This window comes from Homo sapiens, chromosome Y, assembly GCF_000001405.40.
Source record: "Homo sapiens chromosome Y, GRCh38.p14 Primary Assembly".
NCBI classification, from domain to species: Eukaryota; Metazoa; Chordata; class Mammalia; order Primates; family Hominidae; genus Homo; species Homo sapiens.
In genome coordinates this window covers 1,354,336-1,369,839 of record NC_000024.10, presented here as the reverse complement: position 1 = coordinate 1,369,839, position 15,504 = coordinate 1,354,336, and the positions used below count along the sequence as shown (strand labels likewise).

At 57.1% G+C, this 15,504-nt stretch overlaps 1 protein-coding gene and 1 long non-coding RNA gene across 25 annotated transcripts in view; one reads left to right on the top strand and one right to left on the bottom strand.

The window, feature by feature from the left end:
- The window catches only part of IL3RA (interleukin 3 receptor subunit alpha), a 45,905-nt gene that overhangs the window by 12,850 nt on the left and 17,551 nt on the right, over positions 1-15,504 (bottom strand). For all 7 annotated transcript variants that reach the window (NM_002183.4, XM_005274781.2, NM_001267713.2 and 4 more), the window contains 3 exons: positions 13,504-13,619; positions 10,953-10,979; positions 4,588-4,702 (listed from right to left, as the gene is read on the bottom strand). In NM_002183.4, coding sequence (NP_002174.1) covers positions 4,588-4,702; positions 10,953-10,979; positions 13,504-13,619 — 258 coding nt within the window. The remainder of the gene's footprint in view (positions 1-4,587; positions 4,703-10,952; positions 10,980-13,503; positions 13,620-15,504) is intronic.
- Positions 1-15,504, top strand: part of LOC101928032 (uncharacterized) — a 41,505-nt gene that overhangs the window by 8,637 nt on the left and 17,364 nt on the right. For 5 of the 18 annotated variants that reach the window (XR_007068475.1, XR_001756017.2, XR_001756023.2 and 2 more), the window contains exons 2-4: positions 1,750-1,884; positions 4,669-4,737; positions 13,700-14,268. This is a non-coding gene — a long non-coding RNA (uncharacterized LOC101928032). Of the gene's footprint in view, positions 1-1,749; positions 1,902-4,668; positions 4,738-8,090; positions 8,470-10,364; positions 11,307-13,699; positions 14,269-15,504 lie in introns of those variants that run through there. The other 13 variants (XR_007068471.1, XR_007068472.1, XR_007068476.1 and 10 more) reach the window with 11 other exon arrangements.

Genomic DNA, 15,504 nt, shown 5'->3' with positions numbered 1-15,504 from the left:
CATCTCCTCTTCTTATGAGATGTCTTAGTCCATCTCAGGCTGCTGTCACAGAATACCAGAGGCTGGGCGGCTTAGAAACAAAACACATTGATTCTCCCACAGCCCTGGAGGCTGGAGGTCTGAGATCCAGGTGTGGGCAGTGCTGGTTCCTCCTGAGGCCCCTCTCCTGGGCTTGGAGACGCCGTCTTCTCCCTGTGCCCTCACAGGGTCATCCCTCTGTGTGTGTCTGTGTCCTCGTCTCTTCTTATGAGATGGCTTAGTCCATCTCAGGCTGCTGTCACAGAATACCAGAGGCTGGGCGGCTTAGAAACAAAACACATTGATTCTCCCACAGCCCTGGAGGCTGGAGGTCTGAGATCCAGGTGTGGGCAGTGCTGGTTCCTCCTGAGGCCCCTCTCCTGGGCTTGGAGACGCCGTCTTCTCCCTGTGCCCTCACAGGGTCGTCCCTCTGTGTGTGTCTGTGTCCTCATCTCCTCTTCTTATGAGATGTCTTAGTCCATCTCAGGCTGCTGTCACAGAATACCAGAGGCTGGGCGGCTTAGAAACAAAACACATTGATTCTCCCACAGCCCTGGAGGCTGGAGGTCTGAGATCCAGGTGTGGGCAGGGCTGGTTCCTCCTGAGGCCCCTCTCCTGGGCTTGGAGACGCCGTCTTCTCCCTGTGCCCTCACAGGGTCGTCCCTCTGTGTGTGTCTGTGTCCTCATCTCCTCTTCTTATGAGATGTCTTAGTCCATCTCAGGCTGCTGTCACAGAATACCAGAGGCTGGGCGGCTTAGAAACAAAACACATTGATTCTCCCACAGCCCTGGAGGCTGGAGGTCTGAGATCCAGGTGTGGGCAGTGCTGGTTCCTCCTGAGGCCCCTCTCCTGGGCTTGGAGACGCCGTCTTCTCCCTGTGCCCTCACAGGGTCGTCCCTCTGTGTGTGTCTGTGTCCTCGTCTCTTCTTATGAGATGGCTTAGTCCATCTCAGGCTGCTGTCACAGAATACCAGAGGCTGGGCGGCTTAGAAACAAAACACATTGATTCTCCCACAGCCCTGGAGGCTGGAGGTCTGAGATCCAGGTGTGGGCAGTGCTGGTTCCTCCTGAGGCCCCTCTCCTGGGCTTGGAGACGCCGTCTTCTCCCTGTGTCCCACAGGGTCGTCCCTCTGTGTGTGTCTGTGTCCTCATCTCCTCTTCTTATAAGGACCCCAGTCCTGTTAGATTAGGGCCCACCCTAATGACCTCATTTTACCTTAATCGCCTCTTTAAACACCCCAACTCCAAACACAGTCACATTCTGAGGTCCTGGGGGATCAAAGCTTCAACACACGAATTTTGAGGGAACACAATTCAAGCGATTCTCCTGCCTCAGCCTCCCTGGTAGCTGAGGTTACAGGCTTAAGCCACAGCACCTGACCTAATTTTTCTATTTTTAGTAGAGACAGGGTTTTTCCATGTTGGTCAGGCTGGTCTCGAACTCCTGACCTCAGGTGATCTACCCACCTCAGCCTCCCAAAGTGCTGGGATGGCAGGCATGAGTCACCGTGCCCGGCCAGAAGTTCTACTCTGAGGCGATCCTTTTGTTTTGTTGTTGAGATGGAGTCTCGCTCTTGTCGCCCAGGCTGGATGGAGCACAGTGGCGCGATCTCGGCTCACTGCAACCTCCGCCTCCCGGGTTCACGCCATTCTCCTGCCTCAGCCTCCCGAGTAGCTGGGACTACAGGCGCCCATCACCACGCCTGGCTAATTTGTTACATTTTTTGTAGAGACCGGGTTTCACCGTGTTAGCCGGGATGGTCTCGATCTCCTGACCTTGTGATCCGCCCGCCTCGGTCTTTATTACAAGGCCCAGGGGGTGTCTGTCAGTGGGACGACCTTGTTTCCCCTCCACGTCTCCTCTCGTGAGTAAGAGCAAGCTGTGAGTTCACCGTCGGGTTCAGGGTCCTTTTTGGGGTCACAGAAACTGGGGGAGTGAATCTCCTCTCCTTTGCAGGAGAGGAGTGTTTCCGTGACCCAGGATGGCGCACCCCGCTCACCCCGCGCACCCCGCTCACCCGGCGCACCCCGCTCAGCCCGCGCACCCCGCTCACCCGGCGCACCCCGCTCACCCCGCGCACCCCGCTCACCCGGCGCACCCCGCTCACCCCGCGCACCCGGCTCACCCCGCGCACCCCGCTCACCCCGCGCACCCGGCTCACCCCGCGCACCCGGCTCACCCGGCGCACCCCGCTCACCCCGCGCACCCCGCTCACCCCGCGCACCCGGCTCACCCCGCTCACCCCGCGCACCCGGCGCACCCCGCGCACCCGGCTCACGCCGCGCACCCCGCGCACCCCGCGCACCCGGCTCACCCCGCGCACCCGGCTCACCCCGCGCACCCCGCTCACCCCGCGCACCCCGCTCACCCCGCGCACCCGGCTCACCCCGCGCACCCCGCGCACCCGGCTCACCCCGCGCACCCCGCTCACCCCGCGCACCCGGCTCACCCCGCGCACCCCGCTCACCCGGCTCACCCCGCTCACCCCGCGCACCCGGCTCACCCCGCGCACCCCGCGCACCCCGCGCACCCCGCTCACCCCGCGCACCCGGCTCACCCCGCGCACCCGGCGCACCCCGCGCACCCCGCGCACCCGGCTCACCCCGCTCACCCCGCTCACCCGGCGCACCCCGCTCACCCCGCGCACCCGGCTCACCCCGCGCACCCCGCTCACCCCGCGCACCCGGCTCACCCCGCGCACCCCGCTCACCCCGCGCACCCGGCTCACCCCGCTCACCCCGCGCACCCGGCTCACCCCGCTCACCCCGCGCACCCGGCTCACCCCGCGCACCCCGCGCACCCCGCGCACCCCGCTCACCCCGCGCACCCGGCTCACCCCGCGCACCCGGCGCACCCCGCGCACCCCGCGCACCCCGCGCACCCGGCTCACCCCGCGCACCCCGCTCACCCCGCGCACCCGGCTCACCCCGCGCACCCCGCTCACCCCGCGCACCCCGCTCACCCCGCGCACCCGGCTCACGCCGCGCACCCCGCGCACCCCGCTCACCCCGCGCACCCCGCGCACCCCGCGCACCCCGCTCACCCCGCGCACCCCGCGCACCCGGCTCACGCCGCGCACCCCGCGCACCCCGCTCACTCCGCGCACCCCGCTCACCCCGCGCACCCGGCTCACCCCGCGCACCCCGCTCACCCGGGGCACCCGGCTCACCCCGCTCACCCCGCGCACCCGGCTCACCCCGCGCACCCCGCTCACCCCGCGCACCGCGCACCCCGCTCACCCCGCTCACCCGGCTCACCCCGCGCACCCGGCTCACCCCGCGCACCCGGCTCACCGGGCTCACCCCGCGCACCCCGCTCACCCGGGGCACCCGGCTCACCCCGCTCACCCCGCTCACCCCGCGCACCCGGCTCACCCCGCGCACCCCGCTCACCCCGCGCACCCCGCTCACCCCGCGCACCCCGCTCACCCCGCGCACCCGGCTCACCCCGCGCACCCCGCTCACCCCGCGCACCCGGCTCACCCCGCGCACCCGGCTCACCCGGCTCACCCCGCGCACCCCGCTCACCCCGCGCACCCGGCTCACCCGGCTCACCCCGCGCACCCGGCTCACCCCGCGCACCCCGCTCACCCCGCGCACCCCGCTCACCCCGCGCACCCGGCTCACGCCGCGCACCCCGCGCACCCCGCTCACCCCGCGCACCCCGCGCACCCCGCGCACCCCGCTCACCCCGCGCACCCCGCGCACCCGGCTCACGCCGCGCACCCCGCGCACCCCGCTCACCCCGCGCACCCCGCTCACCCCGCGCACCCGGCTCACCCCGCGCACCCCGCTCACCCGGGGCACCCGGCTCACCCCGCTCACCCCGCGCACCCGGCTCACCCCGCGCACCCCGCTCACCCCGCGCACCGCGCACCCCGCACCCCGCTCACCCCGCTCACCCGGCTCACCCCGCGCACCCGGCTCACCCCGCGCACCCGGCTCACCCCGCGCACCCCGCTCACCCCGCTCACCCCGCGCACCCGGCTCACCCCGCGCACCCCGCTCACCCGGGGCACCCGGCTCACCCCGCTCACCCCGCTCACCCCGCGCACCCGGCTCACCCCGCGCACCCCGCTCACCCCGCGCACCCCGCTCACCCCGCGCACCCGGCTCACCCCGCGCACCCCGCTCACCCCGCGCACCCCGCTCACCCCGCGCACCCGGCTCACCCCGCGCACCCGGCTCACCCGGCTCACCCGGCTCACCCCGCTCACCCCGCTCACCCCGCGCACCCGGCTCACCCCGCTCACCCCGCGCACCCGGCTCACCCCGCGCACCCCGCTCACCCCGCTCACCCCGCGCACCCCGCTCACCCGGCTCACCCCGCGCACCCGGCTCACCCCGCTCACCCCGCGCACCCCGCTCACCCCGCTCACCCCGCGCACCCCGCTCACCCCGCTCACCCCGCTCACCCCGCTCACCCCGCGCAGCCGGCTCACCCCGCGCACCCGGCTCACCCCGCTCACCCCGCTCACCCCGCGCACCCCGCTCACCCCGCGCACCCCGCTCACCCCGCGCACCCCGCTCACCCCGCTCACCCCGCGCACCCCGCACAGCCCACTCACCGAAGCGCTGGGGGGTGCTCCAGGCGCTCAAGAATTCATACACTCTTTCCCGGGCTCTTATTTGTACTGTGTACGTTCCAGGATTGAGTAGCTGGAAGGAGGTTCTGTCTCTGACCTGTGGTTTGAAAGAAAATAAAGAAGAGGGGCCAGGTATGGTGGCTCATGACTCTCACCTGGGCACTTAGGGAGGCCAAGGCAGGTGGATCACCTGAGGTCAGGAGTTCGAGACCAGCCTGGCCAACATGGTGAAACCCTGTCTCTACTAAAAATACAAAAATTAGCCTGGCATGGTGGCAGGCACCTGTAATCCCAGCTACTCAGGAGGCTGAGGCAGGAGAATAGCTTAAACCTGAGAGGTGGAGGTTGCAGTGAGGCGAGATGGCACCACTGCACTGCAGCCTGGGCAACAGAGTGAGACTCTGTCTCTAAATAAATAAATAAATAAATAAATAAATAAATAAAAGAAGAAAAGAGGGGCTGGGTGCTACGGTTTATGCCTCTCACCACAGCACTTTTGGAGGCTGAGGTGGGAGAATTCCTTAAGCCCAGGAGTTTGACACCAGCCTGGGCAACATAGCAAGACCCCATCTTTACCAAAAAAAAAAAACTGTAAAAATTACCAGACGTGGTGACACATGTCTTTGGTCCCAGCTACCAGGGAGGCTGAGGTGGGGGGATACCTCGAGCTTAGGAGTTTGAGACCAGCCTGGGCAACAAACCAAGACCCCATCTCTAGAAGAAAATTTGTTTTGTTTTGTTTTGAGACAGAGTTTCACTCTTGTTGCCCAGGCTGGAGTGCAGTGGCACCAACTCGGCTCACCGCAACCTCCGCCTCCCAGATTCAAGCGATTCTCCTGCCTCAGCCTCCCGAGTAGCTGGGATTACAGGCGCCCACCACCACGCTCGGTTAATTTTGTATTTTTAGTAGAGTCGGGGTTTCTCCATGTTGGTCAGGCTGGTCTCGAACTCCCAACCTCCGGTGATCCACCCGCCTCAGCCTCCCAAAGTGCTGGGATTACCAGTGTGAGCCACCACGTCCAGCCAAAAAAAAATTTTTTTTTTTTTGAGATGGAGTCTCACTCTGTCCCCCAGGCTGGAGTGCAGTGGCGTGATCTCGGCTCACTGCAAGCTCCGCTTCCCGGGTTCATGCCATTCTCCTGCCTCAGCCTCCCGAGTAGCTGGGACTACAGGCACCCGCTACCATGCCCAGCTAATTTTTTGTATTTTTTTTTTTAGTAGAGACAGGGTTTCACCATGTTAGCCAGGATGGTCTTGATTTCCTGACCTCATGATCCACCCGCCTCGGCCTCCCAAAGGGCTGGGATTACCAGCGTGAGCCACCGCGCCCAGCCAAATTTTTTTTTAAATGAGCTGACCTGGTGGCAAACGCCTGTAGTTTCAGCTACTTGGGGGGCTGAGGCAGGAGGATCCCTTGAGCCCAGGAGGCAGAGATTGCAGTGAGCCGTGACTGTGCCACTGCACTCTAGCGTGGGTGACAGAGTGAGAGCCTGTCTGAAATTAAAAACCAAACAAAAAAGTAGAAGAAAAGACCATTCATATTTGATGGGTACAAAAGAATGAGTCTGCATTGTGATCCCCCAAAATTCATATGTTGCAGTCTTAGCCCCCAGCTCCTTACAGTGGGGCCTTATGATGAAATAGCTCGGCCAGGCGCGGTGGCTCACGCCTGTAATCCCAGCACTTTGGAGGGCCAAGGCGGGCAGATCACAAGGTCAGGAGATCGAGACCACAGTGAAACCCCGTCTCTACTAAAAATACAAAAAATTAGCCGGGCCCGGTGGCGGGCGCCTGAGGTCCCAGCTACTCAGGAGGCTGAGGCAGGAGAGTGGCGGGAACCCGGGAGGCGGAGCTTGCAGTGAGCCGAGATTGCGCCACTGCACTCCAGCCTGGGTGACAGAGCGAGACTCCGTCTCAAAAAAAAAAAAAAAAGAAGAAAAGACCATTCATATTTGATGGGTACAAAAGAATGAGGCTGCATTGTGATCCCCCAAAATTCATATGTTGCAGTCTTAGCCCCCAGCACCTTACAATGGGGCCTTATGATGAAATACCTGTTCATGGCAGATGTCGTTAAGATATAGATTGAGATGATGTCATTTTGGATCAGGGGGGGCCCTAAATGCAATGACCAATATCCTTATAAGAAGAGGAGACGTGGCCGGGCGCGGTGGCTGACACCTGTAATCCCAGCACTTTGGGAGGCTGAGGTGGGTAGATCACCTGAGGTCAGGAGTTCGAGGTCAACCTGAGCAACAAGGTAAAATCCCATCTTTACTAATAATACAAAAATTAGCCAGGCGTGGTGGTGTGCACCTGTAGTCCCAGCTACTCGGGAGGCTGAGGCAGGGGAATCGCTTGAACCTGGGAGGCGGAGGTTGCAGTGAGCTGAGATCGCACCACTGCACTCCAGCCTGGGTGACAGAGCGAGACTCTGTCTCAAAATAAATAAATAAATAAATAAAAAGGAGACACGGATGCAGAGGAGAAGGCCATGTGGAGACGGAGGCAGAGAGTGGAGTGATATGGCCACAAGCCCAGGGACCCCAGAGTCCCCAGGAGCTGGGAGAAGCGGGAAGGATCCTCATTAGTCCATGAAAATGGACTAATACAGGAGGACGGAGATAGAAACAGACAGGGAGAGACAGAGAGAGAGAAAGAGATACAAAGAGACACAGAGAGGGGAGACAGAGAGAGGGAGAGAGAAAAACAGAGACAGAAAAACAGACATAGACAGAGATAGTGGGTGATGGACAGAGAGAGACAGATAGAAACAGAGAGAGACAGAGATACAAAGAGACACAGAGAAGGGAGACAGAGGGAAAAAGAAAGAAAAACAGAAACAGACAGAGACAAAGAGACAGAGTAGGTGATGGACAGAGAGAGACAGAGATAGAAACAGACAGGGAGAGACGGAGATACAAAGAGACACAGAGAGGGGAGACAGAGAGGGAAAGAGAAAAAGAGACAGAAAAACAGAGAGACATAGACAAAGACAGACAGAGTGGGTGATGGACAGAGAGAGAGACAGAAACGGAGAGACAGAAAGACATAGATACAAAGAGAGAGGGAAAGAGAAAAACAGAAAAACAGAAACAGAGAGACATAGAGAGACAAAGAGACAGAGTGGGTGATGGACAGAGAGAGACAGAGATAGAAACGGAGACAGAGAGAGAGAGACAGAGATACAAAGAGACAGAGAGAGGGAAAGAAAAACAGAGACAGAGAGGAAAACAGAAGCAGAGAGACAGAGAGAGTGGGTGATGTAGTTTGGCTGTGTCCCCACCCAAATCTCATCTTGAATTGTAGCCCTTATAACTCCCACGTGTTGTGAGAGGGACTGGGTAGGACATAACTGAATCATGGGGGCAGTTTCCCCCCACACTGTTCTCGGGGTAGTGAATAAGTCTCACGAGATCTAATGGTTTAATAAGGGAAACCTTTCTCTCGGCTCTCATTTTTTTTTTTTTTTTTTTTTTCTCGAGACGGAGTCTCACTCTGTCACCCAGGCTGGAGTGCAGTGGCGCGATCTCAACTCACTGCAACCTCTGCCTCCCGGGTTCAAGCGATTCTCCTGCTTCAGCCTCCCGAGTAGCTGGGACCACAGGCGCCTGCCACCACCACGTCTGGGTAATTTTTTTTATTTTTAGTAGAGCTAGGTTTCACCATGTTGGCCAGGCTGGTCTTGAACTCCTGACCTCGTGGTCCACCCACCTCGTCCTCCCAAGGTGCTGTGATTACAGGCATGAGTCACTGCGCCCGGCGACTGTCTCATTCTGTCTTGCCCGCTGACATGTAAGACATGCCTTTCCTCCTCCTTCACCTTCTGCCGTGATCGTGAGGCCTCCCCAGCCACATGGAACTGTGAGTCCAGGAACCCTCTTTTGTTTATAAATTACCCAGTCTTGGGTATATGTTTATCAGCAGTGTGACAATGGACTAATACAGGGGGACAGACAGACAGAGGCAGAGAAAGAAAGAGACAATCACAGAGAAATAATGGGAGAGAGAAAGGGAGAGACATAGAGACAGGGGAATGGAGAGAGAGAGAGGGGAAGGGAGAGAGAGACAGAGAAGGAAAGGGAGAGAGAGACAGAGAGGGGAAGGGAGAGAGAGACAGAGAGGGGAAGGGAGAGAGAGACAGAGAGGGGAAGGGAGAGAGAGACAGAGAGGGGAAGGGAGAGAGAGACAGAGAGGGGAAGGGAGAGAGAGACAGAGGGGAAGGGAGAGAGAGACAGAGAGGGGAAGGGAGAGAGAGACAGAGAGGGGAAGGGAGAGAGAGACAGAGGGGAAGGGAGAGAGAGACAGAGAGGGGAAGGGAGAGAGAGACAGAGAGGGGAAGGGAGAGAGAGACAGAGAGGGGAAGGGAGAGAGAGACAGGGAGAGAGCTAGAAAGATAAAGAGAGGGGCCGGGCACGGTGGCTCACACCTGTAATTCCAGCACTTTGAGAGGATGAGGCAGGTGGATCGCCTGAGGTCAGGAGTTCGAGACCAGCCTGGCCCACTAGTGAAACCCTGTCTCTACTAAAAATACAAAAAAAAAAAAAAGTTAGTTGGGCATGGTGGCGAGTGCCTGTAATCCCAGCTACTTGGGAGGCTGAGGGAGTAGATTCGCTTGAACCTGGGAGGCGGAGGTTGCAGTGAGCCGAGATCGTGCCATCGCACTCCAGCCTGGGCAACAAGAGAAAAACTCCGTTTCAAAAAGAAAGATGAAGAGAGGGAAGGAGAAAGGGAGAGAGATACAGAGATACAGAGAGACTGGGAGAGGGGGAGATATAGACAAGGAGAGAGATAGAGAAAGAGAGGGAGAATGAAAGAGGGAGAGACAGAGACACAGATTTGGACAGTGGGAGATAGAGGCAGAGAGAGAGAGAGAGATAAAGAGAGGGAGGGAGAAAGGGAGAGAGATACAGAGACAGACACAGAGAGACAGGGAGAGGGGGAGATAGAGACCAGGAGAGAGAGAGAAAGATGGAGGGAGAAAGGGAGAGAGATACAGAGACAGACACAGAGAAAGAGATGGGGAGGGAGGAAATAGAGACCGGGAGAGAGAGAGAAAGATGGAGGGAGGGAGAAAGGGAGAGAGACACAGAGACAGACACGGAGAAAGAGACGGGGAGAGGGGGAGATAGAGACCGGGAGAGAGAGAGAAAGATGGAGGGAGAAAGGGAGAGAGATACAGAGACAGACAGAGAGAGAGAGATGGGGAGAAGGGAAGATAGAGACCGGGGGAGAGAGAGAAAGATGGAGGGAGAAAGGGAGAGAGATACAGAGACAGACACGGAGAAACAGACAGGGACAGTGGGAGATAGACACAGGGAGAGACAGAGAGATGGAGGGAGAAATGGAGAAGGTTACAGAGACAGACACAGAGAAAGAGATGGGGAGGGGGGAGACAGAGACCAGGAGAGAGAGAGAGAGAGAGAAAGAGAGGGAGGGAGAATAAAAGAGGGAGGGAGAATGAGAGAGGGAGAGACAGAGACACAGAGAGAGAGATGGGAACGGGGAGAGAGAGACAGGGAGAGAGAGATGGAGGGAGAAAGGGAGAAAGATAGAGACAGACACGGAGCGGGAGATAGAGACAGGGAGAGAAAGATAGAGAGAGGGAAGGAGAATGAGAGAGGGAGGGAAAGAGACACAGAGAGAGATGGGGACAGGGAGAGATAGACACAGGGAGAGAGCCAGAAAGATAGAGGGAGGGAAAAAGGGAGGGAGATACAGAGAGGGGGAGGGAGATAGAGACGAGAGAGAGAGAAAGAGAGGGAGGGAGAAAGGCAGAGAGATTCAGAGACAGAGAAAGAGATACGGGGAAAGAGATGGACAGAGAGAGAGGGGACAGAGAATGCTGTGGTCCGGCTGTCTGTTCCTGCAGATCCCAGGCAGGGGCTGGGGGAGGGTCCTCTGTCTGAGGTCTGGGCCACCTGTCTGAATGCTTGTCTCTGCTGGGTGGAGCTATGGTTTGGTAGCTTGTTCCTGCTGGACTGGGGCTGCCTGGCCCAGGGTAAGGAATCTGGGGCAAATGGGTGGACCTCGTTTGGACAGCACCTGGCCAGCCATAGCATCTGGCTCTCACACCTTGGGAGGTGTCATCCCTGACTCTTCCTTTTCCCATCCCTCAATTTGGGGATGTGAAATATCCCAATTTTGCAAGATCGCAGTAAGGGTGACACTCAAGAGTCTGTCCAATGAAAGTCACTGAACATTGAATAATAACATTTATTATTAATAATATTTTCATTATTTTATTAATAAGAATTATTAATATTTTTTATCATTTTATTCTTAATAATAATAAAACTCACCCTTTGCAATGTCAAGTACAGCGGCTGGGGGTAGGGAACACTCACCTGTTCTGTGATTACAGGCTGCATTCTCTGCAACACAAAAGCAAGCAAACTTTTGAGTGTCTGGACCGTCCCTGAAAGCCTCCTCCTCCCAAACTCAAATTTCTCCCTCCAGGAAAACCAGCAAAACAGTGAGGGCTCTGGGAAGGCCTTCGGGCAGCAGTGGGGGCAAAATAATGAGCTTAGGAGTAAATAGCACCTGACCAAAAGGTTTGTTTGTTTATTTATTTATGAGACGGAGTCTCACTCCGTCACCCAGGCTGGAATGCAGTGGCGTGATCTCGGCTCACTGCAACCTCCGCCTCCCGGATTCAAGTGATTCTTTTGCCTCAGTCTCCCGAGTAGCTGGGACTACAGGTGCGTGCCACCACGCCTGGCTAATTTTTTGTATTTTTAGTGGAAACAAAGTTTCACCATGTTGGCCAGGATGGTCTTGATCTCTTGACCTCATGATCTGCCCACCTCGGCCTCCCAAAGTGCTGGGATTACAGGCATGCCCCATCGCGCCTGGCCCAAAAGGTTTCTTATGGGCCACTGTGGCAAGACCTTGGTGGGAGGGGGCTTTGTGAGGCCGGTGGACAAACAAGACCCACCGTCCTCCCAGACTGTGTCCAGATGCACTCAGGGGTAGCCACAGACAGCCTATGCCAGGCCAGCGAACTAGGTAGGGGGTGCAACATCAGACTAGCTACGACTCTGCCTGTGGCTGCAGCTATGCCTGCTCCCTCAAATCAGTGAAAGAAAGAAGTCTGTGCTGTATTTATTTTCTTTTTTTTTTTTTCTCCTGAGACGGAGTCTCACTCTGTTGCCCAGGATGGAGTGCAGTGGCACAATCTCAGCTCGCTGCAAGCTCCGCCTTCTGGGTTTACGCCATTCTCCTGCCTCAGCCTCCCAAGTAGCTGGGACTACAGGCGCCCGCCACCACGCCCAGCTAATTTTTTTTTGTATTTTTAGTAGAGACGGGGTTTTACCATGTTAGCCAGGATGGTCTCTATCTCCTGACCTCGTGATCGTCCTGCCTCGGCCTCCCAAAGTGCTGGGATTACAGGCGTAAGCTACTGCACCCAGCCATTTATTTTCTTAAAAAAAAAAAAAACCCAAACAGATTGGCTAAAAAACACTTGGTAATATAAAAGAAATTAATAGACCTAACGTTTTTTAGCAGATTTAGACTTACAGAAAAATTGCATATGAAATAATTAGTATTTGAGCATAAATAATAAATATATGGCGGGGCACAGTGCCTCACGCCTGTAATCCCAGCACTTTGGGAAGCTGAGGCGGGTGGATCATGAGGTCAGGAGTTCAAGACCAGCCAGGACAAGATGGTGAAACCCCATCTCTACTAAAAATACAAAAAAAAATTAGCCAGGCATGGTGGCAGGTGCCTGTAATTCCAGCTACTCAGGAGGCTGAAGCTGAGAATTGGTTGAACCCGAGAGGCGGAGGTTACAGTGAGCTGAGATCATGCCACTGCACCCCAGCCTGGGCAACAGAGCAGGACTCCGTCTCAAAAATAATAAACAAACAAACAAACAAACAAACAGCTTGGGTGACAGAGCAGGACTCCGTCTCAAAAATAAATAAATAAATAATAAAATACAATAAAATAAAATACAAACTAAATATAACACATAGGCTGCGCACGAAGGCTCACACCTGTAATCCCAGCACTTTGGGAGGCCGAGGCGGGTGGATCACCTGAGGTCAGGAGTTTGAGACCAGCCTGGCCAACATGATGAAACTCTGTTTCTACTAAAAATACAAAAACTTAGCTGGGTGTGGTGATGGGTGCCCATAATCCCAGCTACTCGGGAGGCTGAGGCAGGAGAATCACTTGAACCCGGGAGGCAGAGGTTGCAGTGAGTCAAGATTTAAGCCACTGCACTCCAGTCTGGGCTACAGAGCCAGAGTGGCTCAATAAATAAATCAATATTTATGTTCAACTGATCCAACGAACTGTGGATCAAAAATATCTGGGAAGCTTGCATTGAATCTGTAGATCACTACAAAAGAAAAAAGAAAGTTCAAGAAAAAATTAAAAAACCACATAACAATAGAAATAATAAAAATAAAAAACAACAGACCACATACAGTCTCAAACTTTTTTTTTTTTTTTGAGACGGAGTCTCGCTCTGTCGCCCAGGCTGGAGTGCAATGGCGCGATCTCGGCTCACTGCAACCCCCACCTCCTGGGTTCAAGCAATTCTCCTGCCTCGGCCTCCCCAGTAGCTGGAACTACAAGACCGTGCCACCACGCCCAGCTAATTTTTTTTCGTATTTTTAGTAGAGACGGGGTTTCACCGCGTTAGCCAGGATGGTCTCGATCTCCTGACCTTGTGATCCACCTGCCTCAGCCTCCCAAAGTGCTGGGATGACAGGCGTGAGCCACAGCGCCCGGCCTTTTGTTTTTGTTTTTGTTTTTTAATGATCCATGCCTTCTGTGACGTTATCAGAGGAGATTGTTGCCCGTTTCAAGGCCCCAGAGTGCGACTTACCAAAAATAAGGGATGTCCACGGGGGTGGGGGGGCTGGGGGCGGGGTGAAAGTTTACCTTTTGTATCTGAAGCTCATAGCGAAATTTGCGATTGAAATGACTTCTCATTTTCCAGTGCATAAAGGAATGTGTCTTATTACACTTTGCAGTCATGTTGGGTGGAGTTAATATCTCTAGCAACGAGAAAAACACTTTTAGGATTTAGGAGTACAAGAAATCAATTCTTTTTCTTTTTCTCTTTTTTTTTCTGGAGATACTTCAAATTACTTCTCCTATGCATTTGGAGAGCGGGAGAGAAAAACACCAGGAAGGAAGAGGGAACAAAGAAACTCTACAGGCAGAGACACAGGACTGAGCCGCGTTGGGGGCACTGGGAGGAGTGAGCCTTGGGGTTGCACCCTCGGAGCCCCACTGTCCTGGGAGCAGCCTTCAGAACCACCCTTTTGTTCTCTGAAGTACCAGGCGTTCAGCTTTTCCAAGGACTGGCAGCTGCACATCTTTGTCCCTGCCCCTTCCATCTCTAGGCTCAGCCCCGCTGGGCAGCCTGGCCCACTCCCCACCCCTGCCCAGGGCCAACCCCTACTTCCCATGCCCCCTCTGCCCACCTGCAGCACACTGGAGCCTTGGAGGCCCTCTCTGCATCATTCAAGATGCAGACTCCTACACTTTGACCTGCACACATCCTCCTGAAGCTTCCACTTCCTGGCCCCTGCCTGGCTTCTCACCTCCCCCACCTCCGCCCCCCAGGGGATGTGCCGCCTCTCCCAGTGGCCCAGGACATCCTCCACTTCCCGGGAACCCCAGGCACTTCCACATCCTCAGGTGTGACCCGACTACCAGCCCAGCCCTGTGTGTCCGGCTGCCTGGCTGGGTCTCCCCTGGGCCCCTGGAAGGAAGTCCAGCCCTGGCCCCCTCCTCCTCCTCCCCCTCCTCCTACCCTCCTGGTCTTTCTCCCCTCCCCTCCCCTCCCCTCCTCCCCCTCCGCTCCTACTCTTCCTCTCTCTCCTTTTTCTACCACTCCTCTCTCCTCCCCATTCTCCTTGTCACCCTCCTCCTCCACTCTCCTTTCTCCTCCTCCCCTCCTGCCCCTCCTCCTTTTTCCTCCCCCTCCTGCTCCTCTTCCTCCATCCTCTCCCCTCCTTCTCCCTCCTTCCTCCTCCCCCTCCACCCTCCTCCCCCTCCACCCTCCTCCCCCTCCACCCTCCTCCCCCTCCTTCCTCCTCCCCCTCCTTTTCTTCCCTCTCCTCCTCCCTGCCCATTCTCCTCCTCCTCCTCCTCCTCTCCTCCCGCTCCTTCTTCCTCCTGCCCCTCCTTTTTCCTCCCCCTCCTGCTCGCCTTCCTCCATCTGCTCCCCTTCCTCCATCCTCTCCCCCTCCTTCTCCCTCCTCCCTCCTCCTCTCTCCCCTCCTCCCCCTTCCTCCCCCCAGTCCTCCTCTCTCCTCCTCCCCCTCCTTCTCCCTCCCCACCTCACCACCCTTCTACCCCACCTTCTCTATCCTCCCCTTCCTCCTCCTCACCTCCTTCTCTTCCCTCCCCCGCCTCCTCCTCCTCTCCATTCTCCTCCCTCTCTCCTTCACCCTCTTCCTCCTCCACCCTCTCCTCCTCCTTTCTTCCTCTTCTTTCTTCTCCTCCTCCTGCTCCTTCTCTCCCCATCTCCACCTCCTCCCCCTCCTTTCCCTCCATTTTCTTCTCTTCCTCCCCCTCCTGTTTTCTTCTCTTCCTCCTCTTCCTCCCCTCCCCATCTCCACCTCCTCCCCCTCCTCTTTCTCCATTTTCTCTTCCTCCTCCTCCTCCCCCTCCTCTTTCTCCGTTTTCTTCTCTTCCTCCTCTTCCTTCCCTCTCCATCTCTACCTCCTCCCCCTCCTTTTCCTCTGTTTCTTTTCCTTCTCCTCCTCCTCCCCCTGCTCATGTTCTTCCTCTCCTCCCTTCTCTTCTCCTTGTCCTTCTCCTCCTCTTCCTCGTTTCCCCCTCCTCTTCTGAAGCATCCGAGCACCCTGCCCTTGGGTTCAGGGCACGTCAGCTCTGGGCATATTGACATTCTCACCACCTGGGAGGTTC